Source organism: Homo sapiens, chromosome 19 (assembly GCF_000001405.40).
Source record: "Homo sapiens chromosome 19, GRCh38.p14 Primary Assembly".
Classification (NCBI taxonomy): domain Eukaryota; kingdom Metazoa; phylum Chordata; class Mammalia; order Primates; family Hominidae; genus Homo; species Homo sapiens.
The window spans coordinates 29,664,536-29,683,551 of NC_000019.10; the positions used below are offsets into that span (position 1 = coordinate 29,664,536).

The 19,016-nt window shown below is 57.7% G+C and overlaps 1 protein-coding gene and 1 long non-coding RNA gene across 4 annotated transcripts in view, besides 8 other annotated features; one reads left to right on the forward strand and one right to left on the reverse strand.

The window, feature by feature from the left end:
- LOC105372353 (uncharacterized) overlaps positions 1 to 720 on the reverse strand; it is a 35,060-nt gene extending 34,340 nt beyond the window's left edge. Inside the window, exon 1 of the long non-coding RNA XR_935896.3 lies at positions 672 to 720. This is a non-coding gene — a long non-coding RNA (uncharacterized LOC105372353). The remainder of the gene's footprint in view (positions 1 to 671) is intronic.
- Positions 494 to 1,163: a silencer, noted in NCBI's record as "silent region_10464". NCBI's record gives its function as "represses an Ori minimal core promoter by ATAC-STARR-seq in GM12878 lymphoblastoid cells {active_cell/tissue: GM12878}" and the evidence as "EXISTENCE:reporter gene assay evidence [ECO:0000049][PMID:35858748]".
- Positions 494 to 1,238: a biological region, named in NCBI's record as "H3K27ac hESC enhancer GRCh37_chr19:30156127-30156680".
- Positions 685 to 1,238: an enhancer, noted in NCBI's record as "H3K27ac hESC enhancer chr19:30156127-30156680 (GRCh37/hg19 assembly coordinates)". NCBI's record gives its function as "activates a minimal SCP1, AML or CMV promoter by ChIP-STARR-seq in naive H9 embryonic stem cells {active_cell/tissue: H9 hESC(naive)}" and the evidence as "EXISTENCE:reporter gene assay evidence [ECO:0000049][PMID:30033119]".
- Positions 926 to 10,942, forward strand: PLEKHF1 (pleckstrin homology and FYVE domain containing 1). 3 transcript variants are annotated; one of them, XM_005259256.4, is made up of 2 exons: positions 926 to 1,260; positions 9,289 to 10,942. In XM_005259256.4, the coding sequence occupies exons 1-2, from the start codon at positions 1,022 to 1,024 to the stop codon at positions 10,142 to 10,144; spliced, it is 1,095 nt and encodes a 364-aa protein (XP_005259313.1). In that variant the 5' UTR covers positions 926 to 1,021; the 3' UTR covers positions 10,145 to 10,942. The 3 variants fall into 3 exon arrangements, with proteins under 3 accessions (XP_005259313.1, NP_077286.3, XP_011525611.1); NM_024310.5 differs by having other exon boundaries at positions 926 to 970; XM_011527309.4 differs by lacking the exon at positions 926 to 1,260 and adding an exon at positions 1,284 to 2,645.
- Positions 1,239 to 1,792: an enhancer, noted in NCBI's record as "H3K27ac-H3K4me1 hESC enhancer chr19:30156681-30157234 (GRCh37/hg19 assembly coordinates)". NCBI's record gives its function as "activates a minimal SCP1, AML or CMV promoter by ChIP-STARR-seq in naive H9 embryonic stem cells {active_cell/tissue: H9 hESC(naive)}" and the evidence as "EXISTENCE:reporter gene assay evidence [ECO:0000049][PMID:30033119]".
- Positions 1,244 to 1,363: an enhancer, noted in NCBI's record as "active region_14410". NCBI's record gives its function as "activates an Ori minimal core promoter by ATAC-STARR-seq in GM12878 lymphoblastoid cells {active_cell/tissue: GM12878}" and the evidence as "EXISTENCE:reporter gene assay evidence [ECO:0000049][PMID:35858748]".
- Positions 1,984 to 2,033: an enhancer, noted in NCBI's record as "active region_14411". NCBI's record gives its function as "activates an Ori minimal core promoter by ATAC-STARR-seq in GM12878 lymphoblastoid cells {active_cell/tissue: GM12878}" and the evidence as "EXISTENCE:reporter gene assay evidence [ECO:0000049][PMID:35858748]".
- Positions 4,180 to 4,489: an enhancer, noted in NCBI's record as "active region_14412". NCBI's record gives its function as "activates an Ori minimal core promoter by ATAC-STARR-seq in GM12878 lymphoblastoid cells {active_cell/tissue: GM12878}" and the evidence as "EXISTENCE:reporter gene assay evidence [ECO:0000049][PMID:35858748]".
- Positions 6,991 to 7,220: an enhancer, noted in NCBI's record as "active region_14413". NCBI's record gives its function as "activates an Ori minimal core promoter by ATAC-STARR-seq in GM12878 lymphoblastoid cells {active_cell/tissue: GM12878}" and the evidence as "EXISTENCE:reporter gene assay evidence [ECO:0000049][PMID:35858748]".
- Positions 10,943 to 19,016: the final 8,074 nt, after the last annotated feature.

Sequence of the window (19,016 nt, forward strand, 5' to 3'; positions counted from 1 at the left end):
GAGAGGACCTGTGGGGAGGAGGCCAGGGAGGGCCAGGAAGGCCTCCGGGCACTGAGGCCTGGGAATTTCCTTCTGAGCCGCACAGGAGGCTCAGGTGCGGTTGAGTCAGGGGTGACATAACTTGCTGCTAGTGTTGGACCTGGGTGACGGGCACCAGGGTCCCCTGGACTATTCTCTTTCCTTCAGTTTGAAATTTTCCACTATAAAAAGCTTAAAATAGGCCAGGTGCGGTGGCTCACTACTGAAATCCCAGCACTTTAGGAGGTCAAGGCGAGAGGATGGCTTGAGCTAAGGGGTTCGAGACCAGCCTGGGCAACATAGTGAGACCTCCGTCTGTACAAAAATACAAAAACTAGCCGGTCCTGGTGGGCTAATTCTCCTGGGGTCAGGATGATTTCTGTGCAGGCTGCAGTGAGCCGTGACCGCGCCATTGCACTCCAGCCTGGGCGACAGAGGGAGACACCGTCTCAAAAAAAAAAAAAGGTTATAAAGTGCTGCTGCATTTTCATATTACGATTATTGACCGCTGAGGGTGACTGTGCTGTGAGGCCCGCCGGAGGCACCAGAAGGCACAAGCCTCCCACTGCCCCTTTCCCCGCCAAGTCCCGCAGGTCTCGCAGTCGCGGGCGCCCCCACCCCACCCCTGCCCAAGGCCAGGGTCGCAGTCCCACCGGGTGACGGCAGTCGCGCTCCGCGTGGGGCAGCGGCGAGCGGAAAGGGAAGCCGGGCGGGGCCAGGGGGTCAAACACGGGCGACAGTCCCGCCCAGCCCCGGACCTGCAGCGCGCACAAGCTCGGGCGCCCTCCGAGCGCCGCGCCCAAGCCCCGCCCCTCCCGCTTCCCGGGCTCCGATTGGCCGAGCCACCGCGGGGGCGTGTCCGGCGGAGCTGGCCGGGACCCGGGCGGAGCGGGCGGGGACCCGGGCTACTGCGGTGTGGACTCGAGGGCTGGGCGCGGGGCCGGCGCAGAAGGTGAGTCCCCCCACCGTCCCCCGGCCGGGCTGCGGGTCGCGGGGCAGGCGCATGAGGCGAGTCTCCCATCACCACCCCCGGACAAGCGAGCTCTCTCCCGCCGCGCGGTCTTGGCGGCTCCTGGGCCGGCGGGGCGCAGTGCCGCTGACTCCAGCCCAAGAAGAGGCCTGGGAAGGGCGCTCCTGGGCGGCTTGCGGGGTGAACCTGCAGGGAGCCTGGGGAGAGCGGTCAGGGGTCAGAGCGTCCGAGGCGGAATCCCCGGGGAAACGCGCAGATGTAAGCTGGTGGAGGTAAGGGGGTCGCGGGCCACCCGGGACTGCAGGGGTCTCAGCGCACCCGGTCGCTGGTGGTGTTTCCGGGATCCTGGCCTCGTGTGGCCGCCGGGACCTCTCTTCTCAGCCCCAGTCTGCAGTCTGGAGGCCTGGATGGGACCACTGTCCCCCTGGGCAGGGGCGCGGCGGGGGGCGCTGGGGTCCCAGTTCCTCTGGAGCAGTTGAGTTTGTGATTCTTGGTGGGAGCTGCCAAGGGAAACAGGGTCGGGCACTGCTCCCATCTCAGAGAGGAAACTATTGAGCAGGCCCGCAGAGAGAGGCGGCCTGGAATCTCCCTCCTTTCTCGTTTCCCCAACACCTGGCGGGCCGTGTAGGGCAGAGGTGTGGTCAGCCTCTTTGCAGGTGGGAAAGCAGAGAGGTTCCGAGCCACGCTGAAACTTGATCTCTGCAGCCCAAGGGGAGCACTCCTTTGGAATTTGAACACCTCTGGTATCTCCTGGCCAGAGAGGGTCAGAGGCCAAGGAGGTGGGGAGGTAGTCCCCTAATGCGCTGGGATCGTCCCTCTGCACAGCGTCGTTCCCACTGGAGTCTGTTGTGAGCTGAGATGACTCTCTGACTTCGGCCTGCGTCCCTGCACACGTCAGCCCTCCGGGCTGCCAAAACACAGGCCAGGCAGCCCTGGGTGAACTAGGGGACCTGCCCAACCCAGCCCACCCCGAGGAAGGAAGGGGGATTGGCCAGTGTGGCCTGGAGGGTGGGACAGCCCAGCCAAGCTGACGGACCTGCTCGGGATGGGGTGGGCATCAGGCATTTGGAGCGCAGGCAACACCCGCTGGACTCTGACTTCTGGAGTTCTGATTTGGTCTCTGGTTGAGTGCAGCTTTCCACAGCTCATGGTTATTTTGGAGCCGAGCTTCCTGATCACTCAGCAGGGACCTTGGGCAGTGACTTTGATGTGGTGGAAGTACCTTCCCCAAGGGGGCTTTTGTGAGGATTAAGTGAAATAATGAACGTAATATGCTTAACTTTGTGCCTGGTGAGCTCTAAGTGCTCAGTCGGCGGCACTTCCAGTTTTGTTTTGCTTTGTTTTTCATTACCGGTCTCTTCCCGGAGGAGGGCCTTCCAGGAATCACAGGGCTGGACAGAGCCCAGGGGCGGCCCCTCTGGAGGGAGAGGAGGCTTGGCGCCTGATGCTGCAGTCTCAATGCACATGGAGAAAACCTCACATCCTCACGCTGGCCTGGGAGCCTGCAGGATGTCTCCTGCCGGCACTGCAACCTCATCTGTCCTCCTTGCCCCATCGCTCCTTCCTCCGCAGCCTGACTTCACCCATTCCACCTTGAGCTGCTCCCCAGGACCGGAGCTCTGCCCCTAGATCTTTGCACAGCTGACTTCAGGCTGGAGTGAGTTCACTTCCTCCCAAGGCCTTCCTTCCTCGACCTCCACCGTCCTCCCAGGCCCTGCCCTGCTGGGCGCACCAGTCTTTTTCTTCACAGTGTTTAGCACTGGCTCTCAGAAAAGACCCTGTGAATGTACTTCTAGTCTCACTGGCAAGAAGTGTGCATTCCTGAAGGGCCTGGTCTCCAGCTCCCGGCTGTAACCTCGCACAGTGTCTGGCACACAGTGGGACTCATAAATATTTGGAAAATGAAATCAGGCAGGCATGGAAGCAGGGTGGGTCTGCGTGCGGCCCAGGTCCCTGCAGGGAAGGAGGAGCCCCGATCTGGAAGTCAAGGGAAAGTCCAAAGGGCTGAGCTGCCCCCAGAACTCTGATTCCCTTGGTGACCCTGGCCCTGCACGTCCCTGAGCAGGTTCTCCACCTGTAACCCGAGGCAGAGCAGTTACAGCCCCCACCCCATCCCCCACCGCTGCCCAGCTCCTACTTTCCAGGGCTACCATCTTGGGGCCCCACGCATCTCTCATTTATCCAAAATGCTGTGTCCGGAGTAGGAGAGAGGACAGGACGACTCCCGTCAGGACAGTACCTTGTGTGGCCTGTTCAGCGTGCCCTGCAGTGTGTGCATTATACATTTTACAATGTGGCATGGTGTAGATCAGGGGTTGGCTAACCTTTTCTCTCAAGAGCTGGTAGCAAATAGTTTAGGTTTTGCCAGCCATACAGCCTCTGTCCCACATGGCTGTGTTTGAATAAAACTGGATTTAGAAAAGCTGGCAGTGGCCCAGATTTGGTGTAGCTCTCCAGCCCCTGCTGTTGATCACGTATCACACCTGGGCTGCCACATACAGAACCTGGCTTCATGGCTTCTGCAGCCACACGGGGGCTCTCAGGATGTGGCTCCCAAGCCGCAGTGCTCACATGAGCACCTCCAGCCCCTGTGCAGGCAGCAGGATTGCTGAGCCTGAGAGCCCCCACCCCTCTGAACCCTCAAAGAAAGATGCAGGTCTGTTCGTTGCCTGGTCTCCCAGGCTTACTGAGCCTGCGCTGGGGTCACCCCTCTACCAGCAGCCCTGGGGCCACACTGGGGCCAATACAGGCACTCAGGGCCCAGAGGCTGCCAGGAAGCTCTGTCACCAACATCTTCCCGAGGCAGGCCGGCCCCAAATGAGTAAGGACAGGGCTCAGCTTTTTTCTCCCCTGTGCTAAGCAAGGGAGGTTCACTTCCCTAGTGAGAACAATTAAAAAAAAAAAAAGGATTCCCAGCTGGGCTCAGTGGCTCATACCTGCTATCCCAGCACTTTGGGAGGCTGAGGAGGGAGGATTGCTTGAGGCCAGGAGTTCAAGACCTATCTAAGCAACAGAGTGAACCCTCGCCTCTAAAACAAATTTAAAAATTAGCCAGGCATGTTGGTGCATGCCTGTGGTCCCAGCTACTCAGGAGGCTGAGGCGGGAGGCTTTCTTGAGCCCTGGAGTTCGAGGCTGCAGTTAGCCCTGATTGTGCCACTGTACTTCAGCCTGGGCAACAAAGCAAGACAATGTCTCAGAAAAAAAAAAAAAAGAAAGAAAGAAAAAAGCATTCCCCATCTAACTCAGGGCTGCTGTATTTGCCAAGAAAAACCTACAGGCAAGGTCAAACCAGGATGTGAAGTTGTGGTCATGTAGAGAAGGTGAGCATGCCGGGGCAGCTCCCAGGAGGATGTTGTCTGCCCCGCCCCTCGCCCAACCTGGGACCCTCTGCAGGTTCACAAAGGAGGGCACATGTGAGCCCCTGGCTTCCCCAGTCAGTGTGTGGGGTCAGCTCTCAGCCCAGCCCCTTTCATCGCCACCAGATGCCCCTCCTCGCCCTTCCTGGTCCACATTTTACCATCAGCAGCTGGACACTAGCCCTAAGAGCCTAGAGGGGGTCTGTGAGTCATGGGTGGGGGCAGAGCAGCAAAGGGGTCCCATGTGGAGTGTTCTGCACCCCCTCCAAGGGCTGCAGAGACAGCGTCATGGACTCTGCCCTCTGCTGGACGGGTCCAGGGTGGATTGGGCACCCCTGCCTGCAGCTCTCTTCTGCCTGGTGCTGCTCCTTCCCTTCCTCCATGCCATCCACTTGGCTGGCCCAGTCTCCAGAGCTCAACAAGCCCCCAGGGTTGCGGGAGGGCTACCTGCTCTCTGGGCACAAAGCCCACCTGCCTCAGCTACTGAATGTGGAGGCTTTGGTCTGCAGTCTCAGGTTTGGGTTTTCATCCCGTTTCACCAGTGGCCTGACTTCTCAGCACACAGCTGGGCTGGGGGCACACGTGGCCTTGCTTCTTCGGGGCTCCTGACATCCCCTGCAGGTGCCCAGGCCTGGATGCCATGTGGTCACCCTATCAGGCCCAGCCAGGCGTCCCATCATGAGACATGCTCAGCGGCCCCCAGCCCATGGAGCCCAGGACCCAATCCAGACACTGGCCTGTAATTCTTTTCCTTTTGAAGACCTTAAATTAGAAGAAGCAACACGTGTTCCCATTTCTTGAAATTGGCAGATATTCGGATTTCATCGTGTTTGCTGCTGCCTTTTTTTAAAAAAACTTTTTTAAAAATGAAACCTTATAGACGAAAGTGGAATCCAATCTGAGCCCTCCATTCCTGGTCACATCTATGTCCTCTCCCCAGGCTACTTACTCCTGACTTTCTCCTTCCTATCTTTTATTTTTACCATTCTAACCACTTTCAAGTGTACAGTTCAGTAGTGTTAAGTATATTCCCATTGTTGTGCAACAGATCTCCAAAACTTTTTTTTTCTGAGACGGAACTCACTGTGATGCCCAGGCTGGAGTGCAGTGGTGTGATCTTGGCTCACTGCAATCTCTACTTCCTAGGTTCAAGTGATTCTCCTGCCTCAGCCTCCTCAGTAGCAGGGATTGTAGGTACATACCACCATCCCTGGCTAATTTTTGTATTTTTAGTAGAGACAGGGTTTCACCATATTGGCCAGGCTGGTCTCGAACTCCTGACCTCAAGTGATCTGCCCGCCTTGGCCTCCCAAAATGCTGGGATTACAGGCATGAGCCACCACACCTGGCCTCTAAAACTTTTTAATCGTTTAAAACTGAAACTCCATACCCAGACAACCTCCGCATTCCCCTTCTGGCAGCCCCTGGCAACCACCATTCTATTTTCTGTCTCTATGAATTTGATCAGTATGTATATCTCATATAAGTTATTACAGTATTTGTCCTTTTGTGATGGGCCTGCTTTACTTAGCATGATGTCCTCAGGGCTCATTCGTGTTGTAGTGTGCGTCAGAATTACCTTCCTTTTCGAGGCTGAATAGTATTCCATGGTATGTATGTTCCACATTTTGTTCATCCATTCTCCCATTGACAGACGTTTGAGTTGCTTCCACCTCTTGGCTATTGTGAATGATGCTGATATGAACATGGGAAAGCAGATATTTATTTTAGTCCCTGCTTTCAGTCTGGATATATATCCAGAAGTGGCATTGCTGGATCATATGGTAGTTCTGTTTTTAACCTTTTTTTTTTTTTGAGACGGAGTCTCACTCTGTCGCCCAGGCTGGAGCACAGTGGCGCGATCTCGGCTCACTGCAAGCTCCGCCTGCTGGGTTCACGCCATTCTCCTGCCTCAGCCTCCCGAGTAGCTGGGACTACAGGCGCTCGCCACCACACCAGGCTAATTTTTTGTATTTTAAGAGACAGAGTTTCACCGTGTTGGCCAGGATGGTCTAGATCTCCTGACCTCATGATCCCCCCTCCTCGGCCTCCCAAAGTGCTGGGATTACAGGCGTGAGTATTTTTAACTTTTTAAGGAACTTCCATGCTGTTTTCCTTAGGGGCTGCACCAGTTCCTATTCTCATCAGCAGTGCACAGTTTCCAGTTTCTCCACACCCTCACCAACACTTGTTATTTATTTTTTGTTTTGTTTTTTTCCCCTCCTTTTTTTTTTTTTGAGATGGAATCTCACTCTGTCACACAGGCTGGAGTGCAATGGCGCCATCTTGGCTCACTGCAACCTCTGCTTCCTGGGTTCAAGCGATTCTCCTGCCTCCGCCTCCCGAGTAGCTGGAATTACAGGTGTGAGGCACTGTGTCCGGCCTTCCTCCTACCTATTTTTATTCATAGATATAGTTCTTGAACACTTTCAGAATGTTATGTAATTCCTGCATAAGTGGTGTCACTTTACATACAACATTCTACAGGCTGTGTTTTTCCACTCCACGTTTGTTGTTTGCCGTCAGACCACATTGATCTGTATCTCTCATTGCGTGAGTAGCCCCGGGTTTTTATCCTTTTCCCTGCTGGTAGGCATTTTGGTTGTCTCTGCTGGGCAGTCATTGCTCTTTGTGGAATGCAGTTCTGGTTTTGTCAGATTGTCCCTCAGCCAGGTACTCGGTGATCAGTCATGGTGGGACAGGTCAGTTCTGTCACTGGTAATCCCCTAGGTTTGCAGTATACAGCCAAGATCAGCAAGCTAAAAATAGCAGTTCTTACGTAAGGTAGTGTGGGCAGCCCTTCTCAGGACACTTGTGATCTGCAGGGGCAAGTGGAACGGGACTCGAGGGCCCAGCATCTTCTGTTCTGCAATGCATCCACCCTCACACTGGGGCCCCACTCTGGCTTTCTACTGGTGGCCAGGCTCAGAACTGCAGCTCAGTGACCCAGAAACACTATGGGTGTGATCAGCTCAGCCCCAGGCGTGCCGTGTGTACCGGAATGCATGTGTGCACGTGGTGGTGGTGGGGCCAGCTCTCACCTCTTCCTCTGTAGAGGTAAGAGCTGAGTCATGCATGGTGGGCCTTGGGACCTGCTTGGAACCGTGCCAAGCTACTTATGAAGCATCTAGTATGTGCTTGGCATGGCTCCAAGAATTGTGGACACAATGAACAAGAAGAAGCTCCTGTTCTCATGGAGCTAAGAACTGAGCAGGGAAGCAGAAAACACACAAGCAATGAATAGACAAGCAAACAGCAGGTCCTGTTAAATCCCACAAAGAAAAACGATTGAATCCCAGAGAAGTGGCCAGCAGACCTTTTCTACAAAGGGCCAGGTGGTGAATATTTTAGGCTTTGTCACCATGTAGTCCCTGTCACCAACACTCAACTCTCCCATTGCAGTGTGGAAGCCACCAGAGACAATAATAAATGAACGAATGTGGCTGTGTCCCAATAAATCTTTAACAAAAGCAGGCTGAGGGCCGGATTTGACTCTCAGACCTTGGATTACCAATGCTTGTCCTGGGTGTGGGAAGAGGCTGCCTGAGCTGGGGTTGTCAGGGAGAACCCTTTCAAAAAGGAACTGAGAACCCGTTGCAGGAAGGAGCTGACCCTGGGACAGCCTGTCTCAGGTAGGACACAATGGCACCTTGCCACCGATATGGTGGCGGAGTTATGTGCTGAGAAATGGGCAGGCTAGATTTGAGAGGTAAAGATGATGAGATTTACTCATGGCTTGAATATTGGAGGTACAGGAAGGGGGAGATTCAAGGATGTGTCCTAGGTCTGGGGTTTGAACTCCTGGATGAATGGTGGTGTCACTGAAGGAGAGGAAGAGGTGCAGGTCTGCGGAGGTTTGTTGTTGGATGTGTTGAGTTTGAGGAGCTTATTAGACAAGCAGGTGAACATCTATGCTGACAGCCCTCCTAGAGCTTGGAGAGGCCAAGACTGGAGGCTTGGAATGGGGAATCTATGGCATTTATGGGGTCTTCAAGGTCGTGAGTCTGGTGGGCTGGTGTGTGTGTGGACCAAGCAGGGGGCGCCCGGCATGAGCTCTGAGTTAGTGCTTAGTGCTTAGGGCACCAACAGAGGGGCCTGTGTGGCCTCACACTCCACTCGGGACGGCAGCATAGTGCGAGCTCCAGGGCCCCTGCCTCCTAGCATCGCCTCAGTTCCCCTCCTGTAAAGTGGGGATTCTGCCTTCTGGGGTTGGGTGGGAACTAAATGAGATAGTCACGCTTGGCTGACAGGAAGCACTCGGCGCCTGTGCTTGTGATGGTGGTGGTGACTGCTGCACTTCCTGGGTGGTTGCGTGGGTTGCAGGGCCTGTGACAGCTTGGTTTGGTGGATGGCAGAGTCAGGGTTGGGTTGGGGGTAGAGACACCCAGGTCTCCTGGCACAGACCGTTCTGATGTCCCGTTGAGGCCTGTTCCGCCCTGTTTTTCAAGGCTCCCCAGCGGGGCTGAACCTCTGCCCTCTGCTGCCCACAGTAGTAGCCGGCTCAGTAGCACTTTTTTTTTTTAAGAGATAGAATCCACTCAGTCACCTAGCTAGAGTGTAGTGGCATGATCATAGCTCACTGTAGCCTCAAACTCCTGGGCTCGAGCCTCCTCTTGCCTCAGCCTTCCAAAACGCTGGAACCACAGGCATGAACCGCTGCACCTGGCCTAAGTAGCACACTTTATCACTGCCTTCCCATCCCTGTCTGGCCTCCACATCCCCTTTACTGGGAAATCCCCCTTCCCTCCCCGTAGTTCCCTGTACTCCCGTCTAAGGGTCAGCTTCCGAGGTGATGCTTCTCAGTGCTGGGCAGGCCTGCGGGTTACTGTGCGTAGTCAGTGGGCTGCCTGGCATGGTGGGTTAGTCAGTTGGGGGTGGGCAGCGTGGTTCTGACACCCCCATGCCTGAGCCTGGACATACTCCTTGTCTGTCTCCTCCTGCAGCCGCCAGCTGGAGACGATGGTGGACCACTTGGCCAACACGGAGATCAACAGCCAGCGCATCGCGGCAGTGGAGAGCTGCTTCGGGGCCTCGGGGCAGCCGCTGGCGCTGCCAGGCCGAGTGCTGCTGGGCGAGGGCGTGCTGACCAAAGAGTGCCGCAAGAAGGCCAAGCCGCGCATCTTCTTCCTCTTTAACGACATCCTGGTGTATGGCAGCATCGTGCTCAACAAGCGCAAGTACCGCAGCCAGCACATCATCCCCCTGGAGGAGGTCACACTGGAGCTGTTGCCGGAGACGCTGCAGGCCAAGAACCGCTGGATGATCAAGACGGCCAAGAAGTCCTTTGTGGTGTCGGCCGCCTCCGCTACGGAGCGCCAGGAATGGATTAGCCACATCGAGGAGTGCGTGCGGCGGCAACTGAGGGCCACGGGCCGCCCGCCCAGCACGGAGCACGCGGCACCCTGGATCCCCGACAAGGCCACGGACATCTGCATGCGCTGCACGCAGACGCGCTTCTCTGCCCTCACGAGGCGCCACCACTGCCGCAAGTGCGGCTTCGTGGTCTGCGCTGAGTGCTCGCGCCAGCGCTTCCTGCTCCCGCGCCTGTCCCCCAAGCCCGTGCGCGTCTGCAGCCTCTGCTACCGCGAACTGGCCGCCCAGCAGCGGCAGGAGGAGGCGGAGGAGCAGGGCGCGGGGTCCCCAGGGCAGCCAGCCCACCTGGCCCGGCCCATCTGCGGAGCGTCCAGTGGAGATGACGATGACTCCGACGAGGACAAGGAGGGCAGCAGGGACGGCGACTGGCCCAGCAGCGTGGAGTTCTACGCCTCGGGGGTGGCCTGGTCTGCCTTCCACAGCTGACCCCCGGCCTGCAGAACATCTGTCCCCAAGCCAGCTCCACTGCCCAGGCCCCCAAGAGGGCAGCTCCAGAAGCTGCCCAGGGCTCCGGGACCCCATCCCATGGTGGCAGGTGCAGCGGTGGGGAGTGGCTCTTTCTGGACTCCCAGTGCCTTTTTGCTGGACACTGTGTCCTTATGGCTTCACTGCAGGTAATGCCTTTCCCTTCAGGAAGCCCCAGAACACCCACAGGTCTTGGTAACAAACGCCACCTTACACTCTGCAGGCTGCAGCGGCAGCTCCAGATGGCCTCCTGAGCTGGACGACCCCAGGTCTCCAGACATCTAGGGACCAGAGCAGGTTTGGGAACACAGAGGGAAGACAGGATGGGAGTGTAGCCACAGAACCCACCTGCACCCTGACAGGCACACCCCACTGAAGAGCCTGAGTCCCAGGAGGCCTCCTGGAAGCCCAGGACTGCCCACCCACCACGCTGGTGCCCACCGCCTGGCCAGCCAAGCCCTGCCGATCAGACATGTGGGCTCCCCGAAGCCCAGCCAGAGACTGCCGTGCTGTGGGTGCCACCAGGCCCAGGGACTGCAGCCTGAGCTCCCCGAGGCCCAGGGCAGCCGGGTGAGGACTCTGTCCTGTGTCACCTCTCTCCAGGTGTCCAGCTGTCTCATGCCTTTTTGTCCTGTCCTCAGCTCTCCGTGTGGTCAGCGAAACCATTGTTTTCTGTTAGGACTCAGTTGCAAGAACAGAAACCCTGCCCCCACTTAATAATAAAAAAGAAAGTTTATTGATGGGTGGTTGCAAAACAAACCCAGGAGTGTCCTTGCTTCAGACATGGCTCTGTCCATGGTTGAAAATGTGCTAGGTGGCAAAAATCTACCACTGTCCCCCACACTGGGAGTTCTTGTGTATGCTGGCTGCCTGAAGGAGACAGACGCTCATGCTGTGCCTTGGCTGGGCTCCCCCAGGACACAGGTCTGTCCGGGTGCCATGACCGTGGCCTGATGCCTGCTGCCCTATTCACTTTGGTGTGGGCGATCTCAGTGGATGGAACTGAGGAAACAAATAGCCATTTGTGTGGCTCTGCCGGGCCTCCCAGGCTGAGAGCTTCCCCGTGCAGTCCTGCCTGGCCCTGGGGCTGGTGCTATGGAGAGGGAAACTGGGCCCCAGGTACACCAGCCTTTCTCAGAGTGAGTGTGCATTGGGCCTGGGGCTCGAGGTCAGCCTCCCAACGCCTGGCCCCATGCTGGCCATGGAACTGGGGATCCTTTAACAGTGTCCCACGAGTGCTTCTGCACTAGTCTTTCCCAGCGCCTCAGCCTTGGCAGGACTGGGGCATGGACTGGGGTTGCTGTCAGCTAGAAGTGGTGACCGTGGGGCTGGGAGTTCCCTGCCCACGCAGTACAGCATCTGAAACCCCACTGACAGGGCCTCTCCCTGGCCTAGCACCATCCTCCTGGGGCCAGTTCTCAGAGGTTCACGTGCAGACAGAACCCTGGAGGGTGCAGTTCGAGTGCAGATTCTGATTCGGCAGGTCGAAGCCCAGCTCCCAGGGCCTGCCGCTACCACCACCCACAGACCACCCTTGAGGTGACAAGGCCTGCTGGTGGCCTGTGGGCACCCTGTGAGGGAGGCGGGAGGGTCAGTATTTTTGTTTGTTTGTTTTTGAGACAGAGTCTCACTCTGTTGCCCAGGCTGGAGTGCAGTAATGCGATCTTGGCTCACTGCAACCTTCACCTCCCGAGTTCAAGCAATTCTCCTGCCTCACCCCTGCCAAGTAGCTGGGATTACAGGTGCCCGCCACCACACCTGGCTAATTTTTGTATTTTTAGTAGAGACGAGTTTTCACCATGTTGGCCAGGCTGGTCTGGAACTCCTGACCTCACGTGATCCGCCTGCCTTGGCCTCCCAAAGTGCTGGGATTACAAGCGTGAGCCACCACACCCGGCCAAGGGGTCAGTATCAAAGCGCCTTCGACCTGCCATGCTTGGCAGAATGACCAGTGTGGGAGGCCCACTGGCCTTCCAGGAAGGACCTATTTGTTTACAGTCCCTTTCTCTCCCTTGGCCTCCCTGAACCACACAAACTGGTTCAGGCTGGTTCTGCCTGGGCAGAGGGCACAGGGTGAGACAGGTCACGGAGCTGGGGGTGACTTCCTGGACAGATCTAGTGCCCTCTCCAAAACCCAGCCCGGGCAGCCCTGTCCCTGCACCCTGGGACTGAAGCCAGGGCAGGGTGTGTTGGCTGCCACCGCTGGCCTCTTCTCACAGCACACTCCCCTGCCTGAAAACCCTCAGAGCCTGAAAGGCAGCGTTCACTAAGATAGGAGAGGGGACCACGTGCAGCTGAGCCCGGCCACCACCAGCCTCCTCTACAGCTTCCTGCCAAGGGGGTCCATGCACAGGACCCCAGGCTGACTGAGTGCAGTGTCGTCCTCTCCAGGTCATGGCAGGCAGCGCCCTGGGGTCTGGCTGAGTAGGTGATTCTCATCCCTTAGCCCAGGACTCAGGTCTGTGTCCCTCTCCCCTGCAGGGCTGGAACAGAACTGCTGCTGCCCCAAGTCCCAAGGTGTTAGGGCCTGTAAGGGCCCACGGCTTGGGGTGGCCCAGGACCTTCGCAGAGCCTTCACACCTGCGGTCTTGCTCCCGCACCAGCTGGGCCATGCCAGCTGCTGGGGACACCGCTGGGAGTGAGACAAACAAGGCCCGCACAGCATGGTGGGGGAGACACAGGTGCAGAAGCCAGGGTGGAGGGTGCTATGATGGGGACGGGCTGAGAATGAGTGAGCCACGCCTGCCTGGTGGGGAGAGGACATTCCAGCAGAGGGAACAGTCAGTACAAAGGCAGGAAAGGGACCCCTGTGACCTGAGCTGCGTGGCTGGAGCTGGGCCCCCAGAGGCACGGGGCAGCCACCTCGGGTGCCCCAGAGCTGTCGGAGCCTTCTGCACGCAGCAAGGCTGATCTCGGCTTTTGAGAATTTGTCCTGACTGCTGTGCATGGGTGGCTGGTGGGAGAGGGGGTCTGGCAGCCATGGAGGCCGGCAGCTGTCCGCTTCCCTGGGATCCCCAAGGGCGGACCTGCGCTTCACTGAGGCCACATCTGCCTCCGATTTTGGCTCTGGCTGTGGACTGGAAGCCTTAGCTGCCCTCCTTCCCATCCTCAGCTCCTTCCAAGGGGCAGGCCCCCTCCCCTGTTCTGCTGAGAAGTTTTTTGTTTGTTTGTTTGTTTTTTTGAAACAGAGTCTTGCTCTGTCGCCCAGGCTGGAGTACAGTGGCACAATCACGGCTCACTGCAGCCTCGACCTCCTAGGCTCAAGCCATCCTCCCACCTCAGCCTCCCAAGTAGCTGGGACCACAGGCACACCCAATGGCACCCAGCTAATTTCTTATTTATTTATTTATTTATTTATTGAGACAGGATTTCCCTATGTTGCCCAGGCTGGTCTCGAACTTCTGGGCTCAAGCAATCCTCCCACTTCAGCCTCCCAAAGTGCTGGGATTATAGGTGGGAGCCACCACACACCCAGCCTATGCTGAGACATCCAACAGGCACTGAGTGTCAGCTTCCAGGCTGACAGCCGAGGGGGCGCCAGGAAGCAGAATGACCCCCAGGACTGCATGGTGTTTGGGGCCAGTGTGAGTTTGAATGAATCGGGGTCCCTGGCCACTGAGGCACAGAGGGGAGTATGCTGGGAGAGAGCAGAGCCACCCAAAATGGAAGATGTGGGCCTGGCCAGTGGGCCCGGGAAGGGAAGGTGCTGCCCTGGAGGCCCTGTCTCCAACTCCTATCAGGTTTATTTTCCACCAGAGATGGCCTCCTGGGCCAGGCTCGGGTCGACAGGTGAAGCTAGGCCAGCTGCCCAGGCAGTCCCCGGAGAGGGCCCTGCCTCAAGGAGCAAGCACGGAAGGGGAAGGCCAGCCTGTAGAGCTTGCAGCCGTCTCTCCTGCTTCGCCACAGCACCGCTGCCAGTCCCCTTCTTGGGTGGGGAAGCTCCTTGGAGGCTCTGGAAGTTGTCTTCAGTCCCAGCCATGCAGCTGAGCTTTGCTCATTGCCTGCACTCCGCCCCCACGCCTGGGAAGGTCAGGAGGCCTCGGGCCGAGGCCTCTGCTGTTTGCAGATGCTCCCTTTCCCCAGAGCTGAGCCTGAGGTCTGGCAGGAGCACGGGGCTGCTGGGCCAGGGTCCAGCCTCACGCTCCTGCCTGGGGCTTTGCTTGCAAGGCCTGGCAAGGACACGGGAACCAACTGTCCTGCCAGCCGAGTGCTGCTGTCCACCTCTCAAATCTTCCTCCCAGCTGTGCCTGGACTCCATGTCCCTGCCAGAAGCCGGTCCTTCGCACAGGCAGCATGGGATTCCTGGGAGGCGCCTGCCTCGTCCCCTGCCTCTTCCTAGGAGGTGCAGAGGGGTGAGGAGAGGGTCCGAGAACAGGCCCATGCATTTGAGGGGCATCAGAACCCCACCACTCCACCCACAGGGGCAGGCCAGAACCGCTCCTGCAGGAATCAGCCCAGAGCAGTGCAGCTCAAGATGGCAAGTACAGTCACAGCTGTGACCCCAGGGCTCTTTGGGATTGATGACAGCCCCTTTATTTATTATTATTTTTTTTATTTTTTTGAGACAGAATCTTGCTCTTGTCGCCTAGGCTGGAGTGCAGTGGTGCGATCTTGGCTCACTGCAATCTCTGCCTCCCGGGTTCTAAGCGATTCTTCTGCCTCAGACTGCCGAGTAGCTGGGATTACAGGTGCGTGCCACTACGCCCGGCTAATTTTTGTATTTTTAGTAGAGGTGGGGTTTCACCATGTTGGCCAGGCTGGTTTCGAACTCCTGACCTCAGGTGATCCACCCAACTCAGCCTCCCAAAGTGCTGAGATGGCAGGCGTGAACCACCGCACCCAGCCAGCTCTCCCTTTAGAGCTCTGCAGGATGCAGTGTTCCCACGGGACCCAGAGGCTGCAGACACTAAGGAGACTTTCACAAAGGTCAAGTAGCCCCTACCTGTGGGCTTTGGTGGTTGGGATTTTTCCATGCCAAGTTTTCTTAAAGATGGGCCCGCCATCATGTATGCTGGTAACATTGGGGTGTTGCCTGCCAGAGGCCAGGGAGCCAGGCGGGGGGTTCACAGGTCCCCAAGAATTTTGTCCCTCCTTGATGATGATGGGGTGCAGGTGCTGATGGTGGCAGCGACTGCCACTTACTGAGGCCCACCCATGCGCTGGTTCCAAGGAGGCAGAGACAGGTCACGTGAGGCCATCCTAAGGCTAAAGGAGATATGTCATGAGCCCTGAGAGAGGGATAGACAAAGCCAGAGAAAGGAACTCCCAAAACAGCTGGGTGGGCTTCCTGGAGGAGGCGGTGTTTGGTTGAGCCTCAGAGGATGGTAGGACTTTATCAGAGGATTGTAGTCTCCACGAGGACTGGGACTCTGGGCCTTTTTGGTAACTGTCTTTTCCTGTCCTTGGCACTAAACATATGTTGAATGAATAAATGAGTCAGGTAGAAAATGGGGCTGGGGGCATCGGGGTAGAGAGGATGATAATGAAAGCAACTGAGCTTCACCCTGGAGCCTCCAGGCCAGGCTGTGGATGGGAACTGGTGTTCCTGGTGTATTTCTACAGGAGCAGGGCCAGCAGGAGGGCTCAGCCTGGCCCAGGGTTTAGGGAACAGTCCCCCTCCAAGACGCTAAATGTGAGTGGCCTTCTCAGGTGGGGACAGGAATGCCCACCCCACCCCACCCAAGTAGCGCTTTCTGGAGCTGGGTCTGACTTGATCACAGGCCGGGCTCCAGGCTTCCATGGGGCTGTCGTCCAGGCTGGCACCAGAGGGTTTCCGCTGGCCTGGCCACTTCCCTGCCCAGCCTGTTCTTTGAACAAGGCCAGAAAGAGGCCTAGGAGAAGGCAAAGCCGCTCCTGGGCTCAGCCCCTGGGATGGGGCCTGGAGGTGACTCGAAGGCTGACCCAGTTCCCAGCCAGGATCCGCTGCCACCCGGGCCACACGCGCAAACCAAGGCAACCACTTCCGCTGGGGCCGTCTCTGAGGAGATGTGCAGGAAGTGAACTTCCTGGGGCTGAGGGCAGGGGAGAGGCCGCCTCCTAACACCTCATGCCCGCAGGCCCAGGGCTGCCCCTCAGCCCTTGCTGGCTGGGAGAAGGAGGGTCCTCTGCCTCTGTCTGCATCTAGGCTCTTCACCTGGGAGGCGCCCACACCGTCCATGCCCGTGCTCTGCCTCTGCCCTCAGCAGACTTGATGGAACCGGTGCCCAGGAGCAAAACCTCAGGCAACGCAGGGGCCCAGAGTGGGCAGAGGGAGGGGTCTGCCTCGACGGCCCAGCAGATCTGGGCTCCGGCCTGTCCTGGGCTGCTTGCTGACCCCATACCCACCATTTCCCCAGTCTGCCTGTGAACTTTGGCCCGGCCCTTCCTGTGAACCTGGCACAGAAGCCACCTCCTCTCTGAAGCCTTCCTGGCTTGCCCCAGGTAGTGTGGATCACCCATCTGTGCCCCCAGAGGCCCGGTGGCCCCTGCTCCAGCTCTCCCACCTCCACTCTCTACAAGGAGCCTCAGGCAGCCTGTGCCCCCCAAACCTGGCCTTGGCATCTGAGCTCCTTGAAAGCACAGGTGTTTCTCATTTGTTTTTGGCCTCCATGGCCCCCAACCCATGGTCCTGCACCGCTGGGCATCGCACAGGTGCTTCCCTTGCAAGGAGGAATTGTCAACTTCCCTAGCTCCTGGAGGACACTGGGAAGATGTCACAGGGATCTCAAAGCCCATGTGTCCCAAAATGACAGCATTGGCTTTGCCCAACCCGCTTGTCCTGCCTCTGCCAACACCTACACCTGGGCAACCCAGCCAAACCCTAAGGTGTCTCTCGACCCTTTCTTGCTCCTTCCACCTCCTCCCCTACGCCTTCCAGGGCCCCAGGCCCAGAATGGAGGCATCTGTGGTGCATTCAGGCACCTGAAGGAGTAGCCCTGCAGGAGTAGCTCAGGCGAGGCCACAGAGGCAGGTGTGGGCCAGTGTAGAAGGGAGGACAGGGAGTGACCCCAGGGAGACTCCAGCCTCCTCTCCATCATCCCCTTTGGCGTCAGGGCTGGAAACTGGGCCCAGAGGGTGGGCGCACCCTGCACTTGTGTGTCAGGGTCGGGCCAGGAGCAGAGCTGCGGCCAGCTGTGTGGCCTCTGGCCTCCCAAGCCCCCTCTCCTGCTGGCTTCCATCACCACCACCAAGTCCAGCTCCGAATGGAATGTTCCAATGCTCAGAGCAGAGCAGCAGGCAGGGAAGGAATGGGGATGTGGGCAGGCAGAGCCAGACATTTCTGGGCAACAACAAGGGGAAATTTCAATCCTTGGAGCATCAGCTCAGGGTTCCTGCCAGACATTCTGACCCTGAAACACAGGCTTTCTGGAGAAGAGGGCCTGCCCACTGTGGTCCCAGGCTGGGAGGCAGAGAGCCTAGGGCCTGGGGCTGGTCATCTGGGCTGCCCAGAAGTGCCCGAGGCAGTCCCTGTCTCCCGCAGCAGCACAGCTACGCCCATCATGCTTCCTCTAGCTGCCCACGGCAGCACCTGGGCTATGGGGACCTGGGCTCCGGGATTCTGGAGCAGCACACTGGGACACTTCGTACAGTTTGCAAATTACTAATACCCTTAAAATACCAAAATGCCTTTGGATTTCAGCAGCCACCAGACCTCCTGGGGGCCCCCACCATGAAGCAGAGGCCTTTGAACCTCGCCTGCCCCAGCCATAACCACTTGCTGGCACAACCCAATCCCTGAGGGTTTCTTTCCCCCACGCCAGAGCTGGAGTTGGTACAGAGAGAGCAAGAGTCAAAGCACAACTGCTCAGCAAGTTTTGGGGGTCGGGGGCGGGAGGGGGGACTGGGCTTCTAACAAGACCGTTTCGTGGGGGCCGGGGGTGCTGGTCATACACCCCGTGGCAGGCCACAGGCTCCCCAAGCCCCCTCTATTCTGCGTTCATGCTGTTTCTGCACCTTGAAACCCGGCACATTCATAGCTCCATGCCCACGTGTGGCTGGGAGTGAGCTCCCAGGGTGGCAGCTGCCAGTGGCACAGCACTTCTCCACCCGGAACCTCCTCTTCCTCACCTTCTGCTGCACAGCCTGATACGGCTGACCCCACCCATATCCTGGCTCTAGAAATGGGCACAGGACAGGGGTCTAAGCAGCCAGTGCACCCATCCCCCGACTATAGTCTTTGAGGGTCAAAAGCCTCTACTCCCACTGTGCAGAGGGAGGGGTGGTCCCTGGAGCACACCAGCAGGTGAGTCACGGTGCAGGGCTCTCAGGAGAGTCCAGGGAAAGGGATGGAGGTGAGGATCTTGGGGTCTAGATTCATTCCCAGAATGAGCCTGTCCGTAGTTGGGGAGCACTGCACGGTTTTAAATCAGTTACAGAGAAAACCACCCAGCAATGAGCAACTCCAAGATGTGAAGGGGAGCATTCAGTAGCACAATGGACACAGTGACTGGCGCCTTTGTGCAAACCCAAAACAATGGACTCTCACTCAGCAGGTCTCCCCCTCACGGCTGATGAACATGAGTCAAAGCCGGAGGAGGCAACAGAATTCAGAGACAAACCTCAACTTAGAGGACACTGATGCGGAAGAACCCAGCGGCTTCCAGGGCTTACTCTGTTAAAGCGCCCGTGTCCCTACTACTAGGTCCAAGGTATTTCTGCATATTGGTGTCCTCTCCAAAGGTCAAGGAGCAAGCGGTTAGGGAAATCAGTAAGTCCTCAAAGGAGTACTGGGAGAAATTAGCATGGGGGCCGGACACACAGTTCAGAGAGTGGGGACAGCCAGCCATGTGGCGATGGGTCATCCCTGCCTTGGGACTTTTGTTTTCTTTTCTTTTTGTTTTGTTTTGAGACAGGG